General features: G+C 35.6%; 1 long non-coding RNA gene across 1 annotated transcript in view, besides 1 other annotated feature; it reads right to left on the reverse strand.

Annotated features, from left to right (window-relative positions):
• Nucleotides 1-698: 698 nt before the first annotated feature.
• Nucleotides 699-25,083, reverse strand: part of LOC124904280 (uncharacterized) — a 62,122-nt gene continuing 37,737 nt past the window's right edge. Inside the window, exon 2 of the long non-coding RNA XR_007066331.1 lies at nucleotides 699-1,135. This is a non-coding gene — a long non-coding RNA (uncharacterized LOC124904280). The remainder of the gene's footprint in view (nucleotides 1,136-25,083) is intronic.
• Nucleotides 15,423-15,645: a silencer, noted in NCBI's record as "fragment chr18:31864116-31864338 (GRCh37/hg19 assembly coordinates)". NCBI's record gives its function as "represses an EF-1alpha promoter that drives an FKBP-Casp9 reporter gene in an ReSE screen in HepG2 liver carcinoma cells {active_cell/tissue: HepG2}" and the evidence as "EXISTENCE:reporter gene assay evidence [ECO:0000049][PMID:32094911]".

Raw genomic sequence — 25,083 nt, forward strand, 5'->3', positions numbered from 1 at the left:
AAGACATTGAGTAGAGCTGATGAGACAGCTCCTACAAGAATGAAGGATGTCGAGGACAGAATAACCATGCTGGGATGTGCTAATATGGCAGACACACTTAAGTGAAAATTTGCTGTGATAGACATAACCTTGCATCCTCACTGCTTTCAAGAAATGAATTTCTTGCCAGTCCATTATTATGCTAAGAAAAATGTATGGATCACTAGGGAAATCTTTTATGATGGGTTTCACAAACGTTGTGTACCAGTGGCTCATGCTAACTGCAGGGAATCTGGACTGGATGATTACTGCAAGATATTGTTACTCCTTGAAAACTGTTCTGTTCATCCTTCAGCTGAAATTCTCATCACAAATGATGGTTATGTTGTGCTCTTCCACAAAATGTAACTTTATTAATTCAGTGATGTAACCAGAATATCCTTAGATCAATGAAGAGTAAATGTAAAAACATTTTCATGAACAGCATGCCTAGCAGCAGTGAACAGAGGCATGGGCGTAGGTTTCCAAAAGGAGTTTAGGATGAAGGATGCTATATATATATTGTTGCCAATGCTTGGAACACAGTGACTAGAGACACAGTTCTGGATGCCTGACACAACCTCTGGCCTGCAACTATGTTCAGTTATCATGATGAACAAGGTGGTGACTTTGAAGGATATTGTATGTCATATGAGAAAAAATGATGCCTGAAATCCTTATATTTTCAAAAATATGACTTTAATCAGTGAGCTAGAAAAAGTAGATATTGAAGTTTTTAACATCAGTAATGAGGCTTCAGTTGTTCATTCCTTGACTGATGGTGAGATAGCCAAAATAATTCTGAACCAAGGTGATTTTGATCAATAGTGACAATGAAGCTGGCATTGTTAACACTGTAGAAAAAAGTGCCTATAGATGACATGGTGAAAATATATAATGGGCTTATTGAAGGACTAGAACAGCATGCATTCATAACAAGAAATTGTGTCAGCTTATACAATCAACAAATCAAAGAGAGACTTCTAAGGCGACAACTGTTGTTAATGAGGCACATGACTCTAGGAAACATTTTTTAACAGCCATCCAGAAGAATGCCTTTTCATCAGTAGAGAACCCACTTCTCAGTCTCTCAACTGCTTCTGATGTTTCTTCTCACCTGAGAAAATAAAATAGAGTGTATAGTAACCTTTTAGCCAAAACACAGCATTGTAAGTGGAGACAGAAAGCCTGGCATTGTTCATTGTTGTTGTTGTTTAGCAGCTGAAACAGGTATTTTAGTAATGCCATTGGGCTGCTTAGTTACCCTGGACACATTATTTTTTCACTGTATTAATTGTATGTCATACATTTAATTGTTAAGTACTTATGTGAGAATAAGTGTGAGAAAATTATTGCTTATAGCATACAAATCGAGTCAGGAGAGGCAGTGTTGCCAACCAACCACAGATTGTCAACATGCGTGGCTGAGATAGTGACACCTTTGCTTCCTGATGGTTCTATGTACAAAAGCTTTATTTAATGCACAATATTATATAAAATATTGTATAAAATTACCTTCAGGGTATGTGTATAATAAAAGGTGTAATGAAAGATAAATGAAACTTGTGTTTAGACTTGGGTCCTACCCCTAAGTTGTCTCATTATGTATATGCAAATATTCTAAAATCTGGAAAAAAAATTCTCAACTCTGAAACACGTCTGATCCGAAGCATTTTGGATAAGAAATACTCAATCTGTAATTCTACAATATTATTTAAGAGCCAGTCCATTCTCAAATTTTCTCAATTTTCTCCAAAATATACTTTTAGCCTTTTTTTTAGAACTTTGACTCAATCAAAATTCACACTGCCCACTTCTCTTTTTCTTGTGCATTTGACATTTTGAAGAGACTCAGGCAGTGTAATTGTACAAGGTTCCACAGTCTAGATGTGTTCTTTCCCTCATGGTGTCATTTTTCTAACCCTGTGTATGTCCTACAACACAGGAAGTTAAAGAGAGAGGCTTGATCTTATCCAGGTGTAGCACACTGGGCAAGAATAAGTTTCACGCCCTGCCCCATTTCATCAGGAAACATGATGTCAAGCAGTCCACTGTTAGAGAGACTGCTTTTCATCCCATGGTCAAGATGGTGACTGCCAAATCTTTACAATTTAAAGGTGAATATTTTCCCCCTTTATGCAAGTAGCAAGTGATTTTGTTGTGATGCTTTGCTTTTAGTAAATATCCTGTTTCTCCAAAACATTTTCTTTAATGACTTTAGCCTCTAAGTCCTTTTCTGAACTATTTTACTCAGTGTTAAAAAATAATCATTTTCTAATTCCCTCATTCCCTCTCTTCTCTAAACCGGCATTAGTAAACTTCTGGTATTTGTTTGTTTGATTGTTTTTAAAGAGCTTTATCTCATACCATCGTCTGAAATGTACTTCCTGCAAGCGTGATAACAAACGATTAACTTTTCCGCTAATTACTAATTTTAAAAATAAAGAGTTAGTATAATAATCTCCTCATTGCAGCAGGTATCTTACTGTCTGACACCATGGTGGTGTCATAGATTTTTATGTATTTAATGGTTATAGTCAGTTCTGTTCATTATCCTTTTTGATGCTCAAATTATTCCAAAACTGGTTCTCGGTTTGTGTGCATGTCTCCATTCATACAGAGTTTGCTTGTTTTCTGGCATAACAGGATGTATCAGGTTCACTGTGTACTCTCCATGAGCCAGTCCTACAGCAGCCATTTCTCAAAAATAGTATTTAGAAACCACAATCTGGACATTAGGTGTGCTCATTAGATAAAATATTTTTAAAATAATTTTTAAATTCATGGTTGAGTTGGCAGGAAAATAGAAGCTTTTGGAGGCATCTAAAGAGGTAAGAAAACACTTATGGTGGTGTAGCATTTTGGCCTTTAATGAGCCACAGACATGGAGAACAATCAAAATTACTGTTTATGGAGCACTCAAAAAAGAAAGATAAAAACAGAAACCACCACACAGAACCTGAGATCCTGAAAGGCAATGCACTGTGTGGTTGAATTAGGAAGATTAAAAAAAGAAAAAGAAAGAAAAAAGCAGAAGGACATGGTAGAATATTTGCCTAGTTTGGCCATGAATCTATGTAGAACTAGAAAGAAAAAGAAAATTTTCCCCTGAAATTTTCCAAACATGAGTGTGCCTTTACTTGAGATTGAGAAATAAATTAAGTAGTACTACCTTTCTGGCCAACAAATTCTGTAAGTCAAACACTAAGTAATCCTACCGCACACTCAACTATAGAAAACAGAAAAATTCTTCTCTGAAGAAATGGGTTTTATATCTCAACTTCATAACATTTTCACATTAGCAAAATAACTACCATCAGAGAAAGATAGAAAAACTGAATTAGCAGGAGGAAATATTTTAAAACCTACAGAATACTACCCCAAAGATACAAATATTGGTATTATCAAGTCAGGAATATTAAAACAAAAGGCTTAAAGAAAAAAAAATACAGGTAAATATGTAATACAGAACAAGAGATTATCAAAAATAACCAGAGAGATGTTTCAAAATTTCTAAATAGAATTTTTACAATCATTAAAATGAGTAGCTCAATAGATGGGTTAAAAAGCAAACTCTAGGGGCCGGGCATGTGGCTCAGCCTGTAATCGCAGCACTGTGGGAGGCCAAGGCGGGCAGATACTTGAGGTCAGGAATTTGAGACCAGCCTGGCCAACATGGCAAAACCTTGTCTCTACTAAAAATATAAAAATTAGCTGGGCATGGTGGCGGAAATCCCAGCTACTTGGGAGGCTGAGGCAGGAGAATCGCTTGAACCCAGGAGGAAGAGGCTGCAGTGAGCTGAGATCGCGCCACTGCACCCCAGCCTGGGCAACAGAGTGAAACTCTGTCTCAAAAACAAGAACAAAAACAAAAAGCAAACTCTTGGCCACTGGGTAAAGAGAGAATTTATGTAAGAGAATATTGAGCTTAAAAAGTCACCCAAAATGTAGCCCAAAGTCGTAAAGAAATGAAAATATGAAATAGAAGTTAAGAGATATTGAGGATAAAGTTAAAAAGTCACTATATGTCTATTCATAGTTCCTGAGAGGGGAATAGGGAGAATGGATAAAAGGCAATATTCAAAATGATAATGGCTGAGAATTTTCCAGAAATGATAAAGACACCAATTCTGAGGCTCAGAAAGTCCAATAGATTTTCAGCAGGATTACTAAAGAGAAACATACGCGTAGATGTACTATAGGAACTACAGTGGCACTGAAGATCAATAAAGAGAAAGTGAAGACTTTAAAAGCAGTCTGAGAGAAAAGACATTTTTTATGAAGGAACAACAAAACAGCTGAATTCTCAAAAGCAAAAATAGAAGCCAGAAGACAGCTGAATGTATATCTTCAAAGAAGAGAAAATAGATGCCAACCAGAATGTTATGTCTTCCCAAAACTATCATTCAGGAATGAGAGGGATATACAGACGTTTTTAGCAAACAACAACGAAAATGAAGATGAAATAGAGATTACATCGCCACAAAAACAAACACAAAATCTTATAAGAGAACAGTGAGTGAATATACTTTAGAAATACAAGAGATGGTTTCAGAAGGAAGGCCCGAGATGCAAGAGGACACAGCTATCAAAGGTGCCAAATTTAAATAAAAAATTGCCCTCAAGGTTCAAGGAAAAATTAAAATTAAATTCTAGATAAAAAAACTGCATCACAATTAGGCTACATTATTTGAATTAAAGTATCAGAAAAGCTGTGTATATTGATAAAAGGCCCAATTCACTAGTAATATGTAAAATTCTAAACTTCATCCAATAATGTATCTTTTGAATATCTAAAGCAAAAGGACAAAACTATATGGCAAAATTGACAAATTCACTATTATAGCAGATTTTAATATAACTTCCTCTGTAATTGATATAGATAAATCAGACCAAAAAATTTGAGGATGTATAAGATTCAAATATCACAATTCACAAGCATGTTCTATAGAAAAAATACACTCCCAAAATTGAAAGTATATGTACTTTTCAAGTACTCAGAGCAAAATTTACTCATTTAATGAACCATAAAACTAGCATCTGTAAATTCTAAAACCTCATTACCATAACAGCTAGATATATCTTTTCTGACTACATTTAAGCTAGAAATCAATTATGAAAACTAACTTTAATCACTCACACATTTGAAAATTTTAAAATATGCTATTAAATAATTCAGATCATAAAAGAAATCTTAAAAAAATAGAAAATACATTGAAACAGTGATCATAAAATTACTATGTACCAAAAAGTATGAAATGCAATAAAGCATTACTTAGAGAAATGCTAATGGATTTAACATTCTTATACTTGAAGAAAAGCTGGAACTTAACGAGGTAATATTCCAATTTAAGAGTGTAGAAAAAAGAAAAACAGAATAAATCCAGAGTAAAGCTAAAGACACAAGAAATGAGGAAATAAAGACAGCTCTGAAGTTAATGGAAAACAAAAATAGTAATACTTTCTTCTGAATAGTAGTTCTTGGAAAAGGCCAATAATCTGACTGTCCTCTGGTAAAACTAATCAAGAAAAAGAGCACGTGCTATAAATGTGAAATATGTAAGAAATTTTTGTTTTTTTGTTATTCTAACAAATATGTTTTACTATACTTAGTTTCCTGTATAATCTTGTGTGTTTATTTTTTGCATATTTAAACATATTATTTTGCGAAAGGGTCCGTAGGTTTCTCTGGACTACCATGGGGTCCACAGCACAGAAAAGTAATAAACCCTGTTGTAACTTGAATATTGGGTTAAAGAGTTTTAGAGCCATTATCTTTTTCTTTACCTGGAAGGCTAAAAAAGTTGGATACTTTTTATTGTTTTCTTTAAAACTCATTGCATAGATACAGGAAAAGCAGCATGAATAAAGCAATAAGGAGACAAATATGTGGATGAATAGTCAAACAGATGTACATATCTACAAAATATTGGCCTATCTACAGCAAACATATTGACAGTGTATATTAGCTCTGCAATTACCAGTATGTCCCACGTTTGTTTATATTAATGATTCTAAATTTTTCATTTAAATGATTATACTATATTATGTATCTTAACTACTGTTTTCTCTTAGCAGTATCTTGCCTTATTCTAGGTAACAATCTTACTGAATCTACTCATTAATATACTTCAACATATTGATATCTATATGCCTTTTTCCTTTTAATTAGTGAAAACCTATCATATGCTCATCAGGGCTTTCAGTGTAAAAGTTGTCAAATTTAATGCAAACAATTATCTCCATTTCTTTTTCAGGTCCACTGAAATGTTTTTTAATGAAAATTAGAATATGTGGGGGAAAAGTGAGCCAGCAGTATACTAGAAAGCTTTAGAGAATATTGCAAATAATTTTGATAAATTGGGAATAAATAATTAAATTGGAATCAATTATATATGAGATCAATTATAGCAATAATTGGGAATAAATAATTGGGAATATAGCGAATAATTGGGAAGAGAAAACATGATGGAGAAAGCCTCAGCTTTAAACACTAAATGAAAGATCTTTCTTTCTCAAAATAACCAAGGATTAGCTCAGAATTTCAGCAACCAAACTGTTCTATTGTTTCATGCTCAGTAACCTACAGAGCCATACATTACTGACACATACTCTCCATATGAACAAAGCCCCTCACCCATAAAAAAATCACAACTCTCATAATTGAAGGTCTGTGAGAAAAACAATACAATACCTCTATTAATCATCCTAATCTTTCATTCAGTAAATATAAACTGATATCTAAATATCACCACATATTGGAGGAAAACCAATAGCATCCATAGCAAGAATCAAAATAAATAAACCAAAAAATTAGCCCCATAGGAAACAAATAATTTAGGAACCAAAATGAAGGCTAAAAATATTCCAATTAGTTCCCTCAGAGAAGGTGAAGATGATATTGCATCCATAAAACAAGAATGACCTATTAAAAAAAAAGAAACACCAGAGAATAAGTTTGTAGAAAATAAATTTTAATTGTGATTACAAAAGAAAGAAATCAATGCATTTAATAAGAAAATAATCAAGCAAGACCAAACTTAGTATTGGAAAGTTTACGTTTTAAAAAATCCAATGTTATTTATTTCCAATATTTAATTCCAATATTTATTTATTTATAAAGTTACAATATGCAGGTACAATTCCTGAGTGCCAGTGTTAATCTAATAAGCATTTCAGGAATGGTTAATGGAGGAAAGAAAGTAATCAAGGAAATAATAGAAATAATAGAAAAAAATGTATATTGAAAGGCCCTATCAGGTGCTGAGCTGGTTATATAGCAGAAAGTCACATATGAATAACACTGGTAAAATTTCAGGGCTTTAAAGATAAAGAAGAAATCAATAAATTTTTCAGAAAAATATAATAATAAGAAATGTACAACAAAAGAAACCAAATTGATTTCAGAAAAACTGGATGCTCAAAAACAGAGGAAAATATTACAAAGTTTGAGTGGGAAAATGATTCTAAATAAGAATGTGATGTATAATTAATCTATTAATGAAACTTGTATAAAATAAATACATTTTTAACAACCAAAGATAAAAAAGTTGTACAAATCCTTCTTACCCACTATGAGAAATAACACCAGGAAATTACAAAATAAGAAAAAGAAATGCAAGGGAAAGAGTGCCATAAGAAACGAACAGCCTGAGTATGAAGTAGAAGAATGGTCCTCAACTTTGCACAAACATTAGGATCACATCTGGAGCTTTTAAGAGTATTCATGTCCAGTGAGAAGGAGCATCCGGAATTCTGGTAATATTTATTGCTTTGCCAAGGATTATAGGTATGCCGATGTATTCACCTTGTAATGTTTAATCACAACAAATATATATGCATAATTTTCACTCCAGACATCAATCAGAACTTCTAGGGGTTGGGTCTAAGAGGGGGCATTGTTTAAAAGCTCCTTGGGTCACTACGATTTGCATTCAGTATTGAACCACTGCCCCCAAAGAAGCTAAAATGCAAACAAATTAGTACTTTTTGAACCCCTGGTGCAGAAGGTTAAGTTAATCACACCCCTTAAATCGTAGCATGTTATAATCCCTTTTGTTTTAGTCATTCATTTATTGATTTTTTAAATTGTCATCTCTCACTCCCATTCTCCATTCCTTCCCTGACAGTCATTGTATTGTGTTTAGTGTAAAACTTTTTGTTTATATGTTTTCAAGAAATATGAATTGTTATGTATGCTTGTAATTTTATTTATTTTTTAAAATTTGTGTGGGTACATAGGCATATATATTTATGGGGTACATGAGATGTTTTGATACACGCATGCGATGTGAAATAAGCACATCATGGAGAATAGGTTATCTCATTTGCTTATAATTTTTTAAATGTATTGTGTTTGATATCTCATTCTGTTACTTCAGACAGCTACTGCCTGAAATGATAAATTAAGAATATTTAGATAAATATAAAAATATAATGAGTATGGTGGTTAACAACACAATGAGCTATAAAACAAAGTATTTCAAAATACTTAATTTCAGACACTAGAGCTGAGCAAGGGAGTAAAGTACTTTCATTTTATTAGACACTAATTTTCAAGATGACTTCTCAGAATAATCAATTGCTTTTACTTTTAGGGGCATGTAGTGCCATTACAGCATAGTTTTTGTAATACATGTTTAATTATTATTCCTCTGGTAAAGTTTTAATTTGCATATGACCTTTTTGCCTTATTAACATCATGTTTTGGACTAATTTTTATATTCATGTTTATGCTAGCATAGAATAATTTCAAAGTCCATGGAATGGTCATAGACCTCTATCTTGAATGTGGGAAACATTCTTAACAAGTGACATTTTTCTTTCATTGCATTACTTTGCTGAAAATATTTAGCTTTCCCACTGACAAATTTGTGATTTCTTGAAAACAGCAGATTAAAAAGTGGATCTGTCACTGGATAAGTATAACAGTTTATTCTAAAAACAGGCACATATCTATGTGTTGTACATATTCTAATACATACACACTGGAGAGCATTTAATTGGACATAGCTAAATAGTAATGTATATGTTTTAAAAAGGCAAAAGAATAACATATACAGAAATATATGATTTTTTTTGTTATCTATAATATCCTGATCTCTTAGGAACATATGTGGAATGATTAGATAAACTCTCATTCCATGGATGCTGGGAGAAGAACAGCTTCCATCTTCCATTGAGTGAGACAGCTACTTACCCAGGGCTGCCTTAGGAGTCAGTCAAGATGGTCACAGACAATGAACACCAAGCCAAACCCCCAACAAAAGGAAAAGCATTGTATATGTTCATTCTAATGAGAGTTTTCCATTGAAATACTATATAATTGAAGTTGGAATTGTCAAGACCACATCGTGATATGATATAAAAGATTAAGTACAGAAAAATTTTCACAATGTAGAACAAAAATGTACACAAGTGTATTTGTTTCCAAACATAGGACTTTAAATCAATGAAAATTAGATCTTAATCTCATTTGTTGATTACTGAGTAAGTTTGAACAGTTACTGTTGATGAAGAGATGAAGAAGTTGTGCATTTTTGGAAGATGTATTACTTTTTCAATGAAAAAGTGAATTAACCTAATCTATATTCAAAAGGTCAGTTACAAGCCAATAAATAGACACATAAGGCAGGATGCATTTAAAAGAGAAATTTGGAGGAAGGTTGAATCTGATGATCCTATTACAAACTGTTAGTGTGTGTGTGTGTGTGTGTGTGTGTGTGTGTGTATATATATGTGTATATATATATATATATATATATATATATGGCATGTAGTGCCATTATGGCATAGTTTATGTAATACATGTTTAATTATTATTCCTCTGGTAAAGTTTTAATTTGCATATGACTTTTTTGCCTTATTAACATCATGTTTTGGATACAGGCATGTGATGTGAAATAAGCACATTACATATATATATATCTGTAATGATATATATATCTCTGTAATGATATATATATCTCATTACACAGAATGAAAGAACAAACAGTATAGACACACACACACAAATGTATGTATGTATACACATACTGATTTAATCTATTTAATAAACTTGAAAGATAAATAGCACTAGAGTTATTATTTCCATGTGGCAGTTGAAAAAATTAAGAGGAGTAGAAGAAATCAAATGACTTGCCCAAGGTGCTAGAGCTAGAAGCAGTACTGGGCATACAGCCAGGTCATCAAATTTAATGTTATTCTGCTTTATATTTTATCTTGTGACTTCAAACAACCACAAGTAGCTGCTGTTTCATGTTCATTTTTGAAGTAGTTTCTAGTTCTCTTTTTAGCAACATCATCATGCTTGATGCCTTGATTACAATACCCGCACTGCAGAATAATAGCCCCAAGAATGTCCACATTTTAATCCCTAGAACTTGTGAATATGTTAAGGCTGCATGACAAAGAGAAATTAAGATTGCTAATCAATTGACCTTGAAATAGATGGTCCTGAATTAACTGGATGAGCCCAATGAAATCATGAGGGTCCTTGAAATTAGAAAAGGAAGGCAGAAAAAGACATTCAGTAGAAGACGTAAGTGTGGAATAATGGTCAGAGAGATGCTATATTGCTAGCTTTGAAGATGATGGAAGGGATCCACGATCCAAGGAATGTGGGCAGTCTCTAAAAGCCAGAAAAGGCAAGGAAACAGATTTTCTCTAGCGTCTGCAAAAGAGAACATAGCCCTGCCAATATCTTGATTTTAGCCCAGTAAAACTTGTGTCAGACTTTAGTCCAAAAGAACTAAAGAGAATGAATTGGTGTTGATAAAGTTGCTAAGTTTACGGCAATTAGTTACAGCACCAATAGAAAATTAATACATTTTCCTTATCATCTCATAATACATACACCTTATCAGTTCACAATGGCAAATGCATATTTCTTGCTTAAATCACCTGAGGTCTGCAAGTCAGCTGTGGCTTTAACAGGTTCTGCTCAGTTCTGTGCTCTGAGTTTTCTTTCTGGAAAGCACTTTGAAGAAATAACTACTGTCTGGGTCATGCTGTTCTCGATTAAGGGAAGCCACCAAAGATCCAAAGCCAAGCTAATGCTAAGATTTTGCTCAGATGTATTTGTCAAATTGAACAGAGCCTTTTGAAGAATTGTAAATAATTCTTAGTTGATCCTTCCTTCAATCCCCTCCCTACTATGCTACGTACCCATTTATACCCATTACTAGATCATGGGCTCCTACAGGTCCAAACCTATCCAACTAAAAATGCAAACGTGTTTCCTGGGAAGAATGCTACTTAACTCCACAAACAAATCCACCAATTTGACACTTGTTAAGCTTACGTTCTACTCAAAGCAATGTGCAGGTAGCAGGGGATACAAAGCAGAAAAAGATGCAGTTTCTGTTTCTAGGCAGCTCACATTCTTAGAATGGAGATATCTACATAAACAAACATGAAGTGAAGCACTAAGTGCTTTGTGCTGGTTCCAAGCTGGTCCACCTTCAGATTCATGCCTCCTCCTAGCTCTGTTCAACCCTGGAACACAGGAAGCCAAACCCTGAAGGCAGTGTTTCTCAGGATACTCTGTCAGCTGGCTTCCTGCTAGATTCAGCCAAAGGAGATGCTAGCTAAAGATTGGAGGACATAAAATAAAGGTGAATAAATTAGTACCTATTTTGTTCTTATCCTCACTTTTCCTCTTAATCTTGAGAGGTTATTTTCAGAGTGAATGGCCATAGAAAAGAGTATCTGGAGCAATGCAGTTCTGATGGATTAGCATGAAATTAAAAATAGGAAAGAAAGGAAAAATGGATGTACGTAGGTATCTACATAAAACATAGCCATGGGAGGTGCATGCATCTGTACTTATTTGAGGGTCACTTAATTAACTGAAAGAAAACCATTAGAAACACTGCAAAATTCTACATATGCACAATTCTGTAAATATACTAATAGGCGAAGGATATCAGAAATGTACCAAATATGAAATCCTTGTTGTGCACTATATATTATTTGAGGGAAGAGAGTTGATTTGGTACAAAATGAGCTTAAGCCTTATGCTTAACCTCCTGGCTGGGCTCTTAAACAGAGCAGACCAAACTCTGAAGAAGCTCTTTTCTGCCTCACCCAGAGGTTGTTCCCATAGAGACCACTGGAAGGCAACGGAGTGAGCTGACACAGATGGTTGTGCGCCTATCCTGTCTGGTTAAATCCCTAGCTTCACCAAGTAGTAAAAATGACTCCAGAAAAATCTTACATTCATCCATTGTTTTTTAACATCTACAATGTGCCAAATACTGTGCCAGGGATCGGGGTTATAAGGATGAACAAGTTAGGCATGGTCCCAACTTACAGTTCAGTGAAGTAACTGAAGAGTGGGGAAATTTTGGTTTATGACATTGCCAAAAGTCACACAGCTGGTAACGGGGTAGCCAAGGTTCATGCCCGCATTTGACTGCCCTTGAAAGTCCTTTCCCTCAACCCCTACCCTATGCTTCCTTCTTTTCCTTTTTCCCTCTGAAATTTTTTCTCCTGTAAACTTCAGGGCAACAATTTTTATGTTGCAGTTTGTCCCACTGCCTAATGAATGCTTCTTAAAATATAAATGTGAAGGTCCTTGGAATGGTATTAGGTTGCAATTTTGTCTTACCTGATAAGCAGCGCAGGGCAGGGTCTGCCAAGCCCTGCCTTGACTGAATTAATCAGCCCAAGGCTGTCCCAGGGAAGCCAGCAATTCTGCAGTGACTTTCCCCATACAGATGGCCCCTTAGTCAGCTCTGAAAATGCAGAGGGAAGTCTGGCATGGCGTTACAGCAGCAGACTGGGTGGACAAAGGCCTGGGTGGACACAGATGCCCAAGCAATTGTATTGCATCTATTTCCTGTCATTTAAACCCAGTGTTATTTATTATTCAACTCTGAGTGTATTTTGGAGATTCAATTTGTAGGGTGTATGACACACAGAGTAAATTGGTATGTTATCTCAACTCATTTGCTGGAGGACAGGTGTTCACATCACAAGAACCAACAGCCCCATCCACAGTAATTGGTGCCTTGGCTGGCAGTCTGAGCCTAGAGGGCAAGGACCAAAAGTGCATGAAGAATGAACCAATAATAATTTCCACACGTGGCATAGTGTGTTTTACTTGCGGCTCTCAAAGCACATTTTAGGCATTCATTCTCTCTCACTACAATACTGCCCAGGCTTGCTATTACTCTCATGCTACAGCCAGGAAAACAAAAGCAGAGAGTGGCTGACTCAAGAGCACAGAGGGACACAATGGCAGAACGGGGAATAAAAATTCAGGAGGCCTGATCTCTCATTCTGTCTCCTTGGAATCTCCCCACATCCATTCTCCTCTCATTTATTATTTAATGTCTTAGGCAGGATATTATTAAGGAACCTGGACTGGTGAATTCAATTTTGTTCAGGTTAATTAATTTCAAAATGCTTGCAAGTCTGCATAGTGCACAATATCACACTCAACACAAATAATAGACCAAAAAAAAAAAAAACAAATATAGTTGCCATATGTTTCAAATGTAAGTAGCATACAAACAATAATCCACACAATTTCAAATGTATGTAGCATACAAACAATAATCACCACAAGCTACTGAAAACACTTTCAGTAACATGCAGATTGTGTATGAATAAGTATTTCTATGTGCACGGAGGGTAGTCAATCCAAGTAGGATATAAAGATTTGTATGAAGCGAAGAAACTCCAGAGCCAACATATTGTCTTAACTACATAGCTAATGTCATTTCAGAAAATTCTGCATGCAAAATTCACTTAAAATATGAAATTAAAAAACCCTGTACTTGTGGGGTTTATTAATAGTGAGCAGGGAAAAAAATGGAACTTTTGCCCTGGAGCTCAGGTGAAAAGACATAATTAAAAATACTGCACTGAAAAAAGTGATTTCTACTTCCCAGATGGCATTTGGTTTCCTCATACTTACAAATAGCCATATAGAGCAAAACCAACATATTCCATTAAGCTCCTTCCACTTATAACAAACGCAGGTTTCTTTATCACTGATTCAGAAATTCCAACAAATAATAAATACATACATGAAAAAAGAGATTGACTGCCATCTTCTCTTTTCGGGTTAAGGTATGCAAACATGAAATAATTTAAGAGATTTCTCACCACCAGAAAATTAAATTTTACCTATAACATGACAAGTGTATACAGGGTCACTACCCACAGCCATATAGGCAGTACACAGCATAACCCCAGGGAACCCTAACATAACCCAGGCTGAGAATGGAGACCTTGGGGTTGAACAGGTAGTACTTATGCATTCTATTAGGAAAAGATAAAATTCCTTTTCTATTACATCCAATCTACCTGTTAACTGACCAAGCCTAGGCATATATGCAGAGTACAAAGTTATCTAAACCTCTTCATAGAGGGGCATCAGCTTTTGTTTTACACAAATACCAAGATGTCATGAGTAATCTCTACCATAACAATATTTTCAATGTAATTTTCATTTTCATCTAAAATGAAAATAGAAAGGAAAAGGAGATAGGGAGGTCTTCACAATAGCACTACAAGGCTCAGGAAGTTAAAGTAATGGGTCCACAATAGTAATCAGAGGATCTAGAAAGATGTGAGTCTATGTAAGAATCATGATTTTCCAATTCCCCTCTAAGTTGTTGGATTTCATACTATTAAGGGGATATAACCACTTTATGTAATGAGTTTCTTTAAAAGCTGGTTTCCACAGCTGAGTAGAGTGAAGCTTTATTTGTAGGTTAAGGCTCACCTGTAGCTCTAGGACCTGATTTTCAAGAGGAACAAAAAATGAATCTAGCCAGGAACTTGGTATCTCTCTAGCCTAACACTCTGCATTAATAATTAAACCCTTACTTTGTTCTGGAGACATATTTGCCGTCTGTATCCCATCTACACTGCAACCTCCTGAACTTTTTGATGTCTCAGTTCCTCCCATGAAAGCCTGATTGCCTGTATTTGTCATTGCCTTGCCACACCCCTGCCAGGACCTGCCTGGTTCCTGGACCAAGGCCTCTACTTGGTCACCAGGGTGGTCACCATGCTTTTAGCTTTAACCAGTCTGTCTGTATCTGCATTTGTCATGAGAGAAGCCAGTTCCCCAATACAAAATAGAAGAGCAATAGAGAATATCAGAGCAAGGAACAGGAAGGAAGGTGTTCATAGCTACTATAATTTTATTGATATCAATAATAATCTCCCATATGGTCTTTGTCTTCATCCCACATTTTGGCCCTATAACAAAGACGAATGTTGAATTCATTTCCTGACTACATGTGGCTTTCCATTGGTCCTTTCTTCTTCTCCATCAGTAGACACATTTATCTTCTGCTCATTAATTCAGCTGGCATGGGTTTGCAAGCATATGTTCACTGGAAGAAATTTAAATGATAGTGACCTCAGCCTCAAGAGAAAAATCTCTAGTCATTTAAAGAATTTTAACATAGTTAATATACTAAATGCCTGATAGATCATCTGAAGATCAGACATATCTTTATTCACTCAAAAACTAAGAAATGTCAAACGAATATTGATGGCTTCTGTTTCCATTAAGAACAGAAAATTGCTTGGTAAATGCCTGTCGCATCTAGAACAGTGCCTGGCAGGTAAAGGGCCCTCAATAAATACTTGCTGAATGAATAACTTAGGTAAATGAGAATTATTTATTGGCAGATTTTTTCTCTTCTCAATATTTTTCTTTCCTTCTTTTGCATTCCTCATAATATAAACTGGAGTTTTTCACAAAAAGGTGATGAATGCCCAGTGAATGGATTGGTGAATGAGAGACCCAGGAATACCAGCTATAAACTCTTTCTGTATTATGACCTCAAATATGTCTAAACACCTGTATGTAGGCATAGAAAAACATTGTAGAAGGGAATGCAGCAAAATCTGAACAGTGGTTGTCCCTGTGTTGTGTGATTTTTTTTTCCTGTTTCAATTTTTCTATGATGAATATGGATAACTTTAACATATATTATAAAAACCATCACACAGGATAAACAGAACTCAAATGATATCAAAGCTGTTTAAATAGAAATTCTGTTTTCATTTCAAACCCTGCTGCCCAGAGATAAATATTATTAGTACTTAGATGTAAATATACACACACACATGCACATGCACACATTTTGTACATAAATGTAAAATGGCTCAGTCACACTGTATGTACCATATTTGAACCGACTTTTTTGACTCAGTGACAAGGGGTGTGTTTGTGTATATTTATATATTTATATATATTTATTTGAACAGTTGCCAATTATTTCATTGAATTGATGAGCCATTATTTAATTATTATTTAAAATTTGTAAACAATTATTTTTTAACAAGTAATTATTTCCAATTTTTTGACTTAATAAATATACCATTTTACACTTGACTGATTATTTTCTTATATGAAATTCCTATGAACATATTTATTATTCAAATAACAGGAACATAGTTAAAGATTTTAATGAATTTTTTCAGATAGTTCTCCAGAAATGTTGTATCAATGCACACTTACGTGTAAAATAAGTGTGATTTGTTTCCCTGTGACATTTACTAAAATCAGACATTAGGAGACATTGTAAACTTTGTTCATTTGATAATGTTAACATATCCTATTGCTGTTTTTTGTTGTTGTTTTGTTTTGTTTTGTTTTGAGACAGAGTCTCACTCTGTCACCCAGGCTGTAGTTCAGTGGCATTATCTTGGCTCACTGCAACCCCAGCCTCCAGGGTTCAAGCAATTCTCCTGCCTCAGCCTCCCAAATAGCTGGGATTACAGGCATGCACCACCATGCCTGGCTAATTTTTGTATTTTTAGTAGAGATGGGGTTTTGCCATGTTGACCAGGCTTGTCTTGAACTCCTAACCTCAGGTGATCCACCCACCTTGGCCTCCCAAAGTGTTGTGATTACAGGCATGAGCCACCCTACCTGGCCTGATGTTTTAATTTATAAATCTTTGGCTCTTATTAACATAATGTATCTTTTCATTTTTATGGGATGTTTATTCAATTGTGAATTGCAGTGGATGCCCTTTGCCCATTGCTTTTCAGGGGTCTTTGGGTTTTATGTTTTGTTAGAAAGCATTTTCTACCTCAAGAATGTTAAAGTAGTCTACATTTTCTAACAGTGTTACGTGTTACATCTTTTATATTTATATTTTAAGTCCATCTAGAATTGAGCATGTGTATATAAGAGATGCAGATATTTGAATTAACATTTTGTTGTTAAGTGGAGAGCTAATTTTTGCCAATGCAATTTATTCAACAATCTATTTTCCTTGCGTATGTATGGAATATCACTGTTATTCATTGTATGCACCCATATATTCATAGATATCTTAGCACTACATTCTTTTAATTAATTTAACTTTTTAGTACATTTATAGATTCATAAGAAAATATATTAATTTTGAAATCTAAAAAACATATAGCATAGAAAAAAGAAAAGCATAAAATTAACAAAAACTAATGAAAAAAAGCATGAAATGGCATGAGGTCTGTCTGCTATTATACATCCTCATAATTCCTAGTAATTTTCCATCTATAACCTCAGTACATTTATAATTTCTCATTCTATTTCCTCTAATAAACTGTAAGTACTCAAAGGCAGAGCCCATACCTTTGTTATTAATCTTGAAACCCTAGACTGCAGATTTCCCAACATATAGCAGGTATTCCTGTTATTCACATGTTTAATGAATAAAGTGTTCCTGATCTTACAGAATTAGCCAAGAGAGATATTTCTGATGCCAGAAAATGTAAGGTAAAATTCCAGAATGAGTAGCATAGACAATAAAGTGCCAAAATATTTCAGAAGACAATTCAGCTTCGTGGTTTTGAGCTGATCTGGTGTTGGAGTGTTACGGAAGATGTCCTGAAGTATTTGACTGGGTTCTAAAGTGTGGATTGGAATTGTTTGGTTAAATGGAGGAGAGAGGAGTCCAACAAGTTAATCTTTGGCATTTTAATTTGCTTGGGAGACAGATTATATCAAAGAAAATTGAAGAAACCAATTGGATGAGTCATGTGGATTGTGTTAAAGAGAATATGAAATGCATTTAATTATATAGTGTGTTAGACCATTCTTGCATTGTTATAAAGAAATACCTGAGGCTAGATAATTTATAAAGAGAAGAGGCTTAATTGACTCATGGTTTTGCAGTACAGGAAGCATGACGTCTGCTCAACTTCTGGTGAAGGCCTCTGGAAGCTTACAATCATGGTGGAAGGTGAAGCAGGAGCCCTTATATAACATGGTGAGAGCAGGAGCAAGGTGTAGGGGAAAGATGCTACACACTTTTAAACTAGATTTTCCAAGAACTCACTCACTACCATGAAGACAACAAGCCATGAGGATTCTGCCCCCATGACCCAAATACCTTCTACAAGGCCCCACCTCCAATGTTGGGGATCACATTTCAATATGAGATTTGAGTAGGGATGAATATCCAAACTACTATATCATTCTGCCCTTGCTCCTGCCCCCCCACATTTCATGTCCTTCTTACATTGCAAAATATCATGTCTTCCCAATATTCCCCCAACGTCTTAACTGATTCCGCCATTATTTCAAAAGTCCCAAGTCCAAGTCCAGTCTCTCATCTGGAGATGAATTCATTCACCTATAATCCTGTAAAATCAAAACAAGTTATTTACTTCCAAGAAACAATGGGAGTACAATCATTGGGTAAACAGTCCCATTCCAATGAAAGAGAAATCACCCAAACGAAAGGGCTACAGGCCCTGTGTAAGTTTGAAACCCAGCAGGGCAGTTATTAAACCTTAAAGATCCAAAGTAGTCTCCTTTGACTCTGTGTTCCAAATCCAGGGCACACACTGGTATGAGGGGTGGGATTCCAAGGCCTTGAGCAGCTCTATCACTGTGGCTTTTCCATACTGAGGTTGCAAGCTTCTGGTGATTCTACCATTCTGGGGTCTGGAGCACAGCAGCCCCCTTCCCACAGCATTGCTAGGCAGTACCCCAGTGGGGGCTCTGTGTGGGGCTCCAATTCTACATTTTCCCTTACCACTCCCCTAGTAGAGGTTCTCTGTGAGAGCTCCACTCCTTCAGTAGACTTCTGCCTAGGCACCCAGGCTTTCTCATACATCCTCTGAAATCTAGGCAGAAGCTTCCAAGCCTCCTTTACTTTTGCACTCTGTGCATACACAGGCTTGACACCACATGGAACCCATCAAGGCTTACAGCCTGTGCCCTCCAGAGTGGTGGCCCCAGCTGTACCTGGGGCCCTTTGATCCATGACTGGAACTGGAGTGGCCAGGATGTAAGGAGCAGTGTCCCAAAGCTGCAGGGCCCCAGACCTGGCCCCCAGAACCATTCTTTCCTCCTAGACCTCTGGATCTGTGATGGGAGGGGCTGCCCTGAAGATCTCTGAAAAGCTTTCAAGGCCTTTTTCCCATTGTCTTGGCTATCAGCACCTGGCTTACTTTCAGTCATACAAATCTTCCTAGGAAGTGGTTGCTGTGCAGCCTATTTGAATTCTTCTCCTGATAATGCTTTTTATTTATGTGCTACATAACCAGGCTGCACGTTTTCAAAACTTTTTTTGCTCTGCTTCTCTTTTAAATATAAATTTCAACTTTAAGTCATTTGTTTACTCTTACATCTAAGAATAGCCTGTTAGAAGCAGCCACACCATTCTTGAGTGCTTTGCTGCTTATAAATTTCTTCTGCCAGATATCCTATATTATCCCTCTTAAGTTCAAATGTGAACTTCCGCTATATCTTATATCATCACTCTAAAGTTCAAATTTCCATAGATCTCTAGGGCATGAACAGAATTCAGTCAAGCTCCTTGCTAAGACAGAACACAAGTGACCTTTGATCCACTTCCCAATAAGTTCCTCATTTCTATCTGAGATCTCATCAGCGTGGACTCCACTGTCCATATCACTATATCATCATATTGGTATAACCATTTAACCAGTCTCTATGAAGTTCCAAACTTTTCCTCATCTTTCTGTCTTCTTGTGAGACCTCCAATCTCTTCCAACTCCTGCCTATTACCCAGCTGCAAAGTTGACTCCACCTTTTCAGGTATCATTACAGCAGCATGCCACTCTTGGCACCAGTTTTCAGTGTTAGGCCATTCTTTTGTTGCTATAAAGAAATATCTGAGGTTGGGTAATTGATAAGGAAAAGAAGTTTAATTGGCTTATGATTCTGCAGGCTCTATAGGAAGCATGGCACTAGCATGTGCTCAGCTCCTGGTGAAGATCTCAGGAAGCTTACAATCATGGCGTACGATGAAGCAGGAGATTGTGTAGCACATGGTGAGAGCAGGAACAAGAGAAAGGTGGGGAGTTGCCACAGACTTTTAAACAATGAGATATTGTAACAACCCATGCACTACTGTGAGGATAGCCCCAAGCCATGAGGGATCTGCCTCCATAACTCAAACCTCTCCCACCAGGCCTCACTTCCAACATCAGAACTTACGTTTCAACATGAGATTTGGGTGGAAACAAATATCCAAACTATATCATATAGGTTAGGCCCAGATTATGAAGGACCTTAAAAGCTAAACTGAGGAGTTAATACTGTGTTTTGTGGGCATTCATCACTTCATGTTTTCAGTGAGGAAGTGACTTAATATTATGTTTAGGTAGATTAAACAAGAGCTAGTGCAGAGTATGCATTGAAGAGTATAGCTAAGATTTGAATATGTCAGCTGCAGTTCATTCATGAGTTCCCCAAACATGTAGAAGATAGAGCCTTCTCCCTGTGTCCTAACATGGTGGAAAGGGCAAACCATCTCCCTAGGGCCTCTTTCATAAAGGCATTATTACCATTCATGAGGGTTCTATCTTCATGATCTAATCATCCCCCAAAGGTCCATACCTGTTAATTTAGACATTATATAGTTATTCAAAACCAAAACAATAAATATTTATGTACCAAAAATTCTCTATCCATAGGCTAAAATACAAAAGTCAACTGAAAATGGATCATAAACCCAAGACCATAAAATTCTAGAAAATAAATACAGAGCAGATACTTTTCGGTCACCTTTGGCGATGTAAAAATACAAAAACAGAAATCATAAAAAGAACCATAAAAGACTGATAAATAGAATTTTTCAAATGTAAAACTTCTGCTTTTGTAAATATACTTAAAAAATGAAAAGATAACTCAGTCTGTGAATAACTATTTGCAAAACATATATCTGATACAGATTTTTTATTAATAATATGCAAAGAACTTTTCACAACTCAATAAAAGTAGGAAAAATATTTGAAGATAGGTTATCAAAGGTGAGTTACAGATAGCAAATATACACATTAAAATATATTCAATTTTACTGATCAAGAGAATGCAAAATAAAACTGTATATTTATTACACACTTATAAAAATAAGATTTAAAAACTGACAATATTAAATGCTGGCAAGTGTAAACAGCAACTGATCCCTCACGTATTTCTAATGTAATGCAATAAGGCACAGACACTCTGGAAAGCAGTTTTTGGCAATTTTTATAACAATAAATATACATTTTACATGTCTAAATAATTTTACTTCTAGGTATTTACCAAGAAAAATGAAACATATATTCACATAAAAATCTGTGCCAATTATTTATGGTAGTTTTATTCATTATTGCCCCAAACTGGAAACAACCCAAATTTCCATTTACTGGTGAGCAGATAAACAAATTATGATGCACACATGCAACAAAATAGATGGATCTCAAAATAATTATGACAAGTAACAAGCCAGACATAAAAGGTTATATTATGTATGCTTCCATTTATATAACATTCTGGAAAAGGCATATTTATAGGGACAGAAATTAGTGGTTGCCAAGGGCTAGGAGTTGGGAAAGGGAACTGATTTCAAAGGGACACAAAAGATTATTTGAAATAAAGTAAAATATTCTATATTTGATTATTGGTGGTTATATGACAGTTTACATTTACTAAATGTCATCAACAATAAATTTTACTGTATTTATATTAGACCTTAATAAACCAAGATTTAAAAATCAAACAAGGAAAACACTTTCTAAAATAAAAACAAAACAAGGGCATTCTGAGAAAGTAAAGTTTACGCTAAAACCTGAAGAATGAGTAGAAATGAGCAAACTAAAGGATTGGGACAAAAATGTTTGAGGCAAAGGGAATAATTTGGGCAAAACCCCCAAGGAAGGAAGAATCTGGACATTAGAGGAAGTAACCTGAGGCCAATGTAGCAAAGGCACTGTAAAGAATGTGAGTTTGACAAGAAATGTGGGAAGAGAAAGAAATGAGCATCAGATTACACAGAGTCTTGTACCAATTATGAGGAACTTTAGATTTTATTCTAAATACAATGGGAAATATCTTAGTCTGTTCAGGCTGCTAATAACAAAATACCATAGACTAGATGGCTTATAAACAACCACCATTTATATGTTCCTGAATAACCAGTGGGTCGATGAAGAAATTAAGAAGGAAATTGGAAAATTTCTTGAAGCAAATGAAAATGGAAACACAACCTACCAAAACCTATGGGATACAATTCTGGAGGCTGGGACGTCCAAGAATAATGTACCTGCAGATTCAGTGTCTAGTGAGGGCTGGTGCCTCATACAGCCTTCTCCCTGTGTCCTCACATGGTAGAAAGGACAAACTATCTCCCTAGGGCCTCATTTATAAGGGCATTAATACCATTCATGAGGGCTCTGTCTTCATGATCTAATCACCTCCTAAAGGCCCACACCTGTTACTACTATCATTTTGGCAATTAGGTTTCAACATACCAATTTTGAAGGGACACTTTCAGACCATAGAGGAAGCCTCTGAAAGATTTAAATTAGAGGAATGATGTGATATGATATGAATTTTTGAAAGATCACTCTAGATTCTTCAGTAAGAAGGATCAATGAGGGCAAAAGTGGGTGCAGGGGGACAGATTAGGAGAGCATTACAAAGAGAGACAATGGGAGCTTGGGCCATGGTGGTAGTTATAGATACAGAGAGAAGGGTCCACATTTGGGATATATTTGGATCCTCATCCATCAATTATAAAAATGGAGTTAAAACATATCTATGTCATGGGGCTGTTGTGAGGACAAAATGTGTATAATTAGTTTGTATTTTTTCTCAATATATTTTAAATGCTTAAAACATATTTACTATTATTTTAAAAGATGAAAATGAATTAAACACTGCTTCCCTTGTTTTTGCTCTCATCTTCTTCCAAGTTGCCACCCTCACATAGTGTGTTCACTCCCTGGGATGCCCTCAGTACCTGCATATCTCCTTATTTAAGCATGCATTTATCATATATTTATGTGAACCCAGCCCTGCTCTTCTTTAGTAATAATCCTAATGCTGATCGGTCTTCACCCAAGGGTATGTAATAATACATGGTCAAAACCATGAAAAACCAGACCTTCACTTCTGGTAAAAGCTTATGAACCCCAGGTATATCTAGGTTGTATTAAATTGACCTTGTTTTGTTTGTTTGCCTGTTTGTTTGTTTGTTTTTCTCTATCCTTGAGCATTTGAGTATTCTTTTATGGAAGGGTGACATAGTGACAATCATTTTTCTTTAGTTATATGTGCTTACTTTTATAGTAACATTAAACCTATTATTTTTATTTTATTTGCCCCACAAGGCTATTAAAATCATACAAATAGAAATGATATGGGCCTAGGCAAGAAAAGTAAAAATGTGAGTGGAAAGAGGAAGATTAATATGAATTTGGAGTGAAGGCTCAGAGAGACTTTGTGAACAATAGAATACAGAAGGTCATGAATACAGAAAAGTCAAAGACAACTCTAGTTTCCATTCCTGTTGGCCTGGGTGAAATCTGTCACCACTGACAAATAGAAAAGTCACTAGAGGAATCTTCTTAGGGATCAACAACAACAACAAAGAATAATGGATTCTCTTTAGAAACGTTGACTTTGAGACAACAATAGATTTTCCAAACAGTGGCAGTGGCATTTGTCAGTTATCAGATGGGGCATTAGTCCTCTTGAACACTCTAAATGAGACAGCTAGATGCTAAGACTAGAGAGAACCTCCAGAGGAAAATGAAAGAACCAAAAATCATTCAGCAACAGGTGATAGGAGGAAGATAAGTTGAGCATCAAGCATGTCAGAGATTGCATAATACCTAACAGTTCAGACAGGCAGTTTGGCACGAGAAGACAAAAGTGGTAAAAATTCTGCCCCTATGGATTGCTGTTTAGGGCCATAGTCCCATTTTTTAGGATAACTTGGAATGACTGTTTCCACAATGAAACAAGGACTCATGTGTAGAGATACAGGATATGGACCAGGAACATCTAAATTAGTATCCTATTCAGACAAACACAGTGAAATTTGCTCTCTAAACATGGCTTTTAGTATCTCCTTGAAAGTGATGAGCTCTAAAAAAAATGCTTAAAAATAGCTTAGGATAATGCTTAAAAATCTTAGAAAAAATCATCATTAACCTCAAAGATTGTATTTATGTTTTTAGATGCTTATTTAGTTTTCTGCCTTGGAAACTCAGAAAATGGGAACAGTTGAGTTTGAAATCTTCACTTTTACTGATACATCTTCTTTCAGTATATTTAATGGCAGTTTTTGTTTATAAATGTCTTTACATCTACAATTACTTCTTGCTTTTCAGTGGTGCTTGTGGCATTTCCTAATGTATAATCCTCTGCAAGTTTTGTTACAAGCTGTCTACTCCTACAATTAATAGAGATGTTAGGTAGCCTATAAAACTCACATCACTCTCTACCACCATTAACTTCGTACATTGCCATATATTAACATCTTTTTGTTTTGTTTTGTTTTTGTTTTTGTTTTGTTGTTGTTGTTATTGCTGCTGTTGTTTTCTTTCAGATGGAGTTTTGCTCTTGTTGCCCAGGCTGGAGTACAATGGTGTGATCTCGGCTCACTGCAACCTCTGCCTCTGGGTTCAAGCAACTCTCCTGCCTCAGTCTCCAGAGTAGCTGGGATTACAGGTGCCTGACACCATGCCCAGCTAATTTTTGTATTGTTAGTAGAGATGGGGTTTCACCATGTTTGCCAGGCTGGCCTCAAACTCCTGACTTCAGGTGATCCACCCACCTCAGCCTCCCAAAGTGCT

The sequence above is a fragment of the Homo sapiens genome, chromosome 18 (assembly GCF_000001405.40).
Source record: "Homo sapiens chromosome 18, GRCh38.p14 Primary Assembly".
In the NCBI taxonomy this organism is placed as follows: domain Eukaryota; kingdom Metazoa; phylum Chordata; class Mammalia; order Primates; family Hominidae; genus Homo; species Homo sapiens.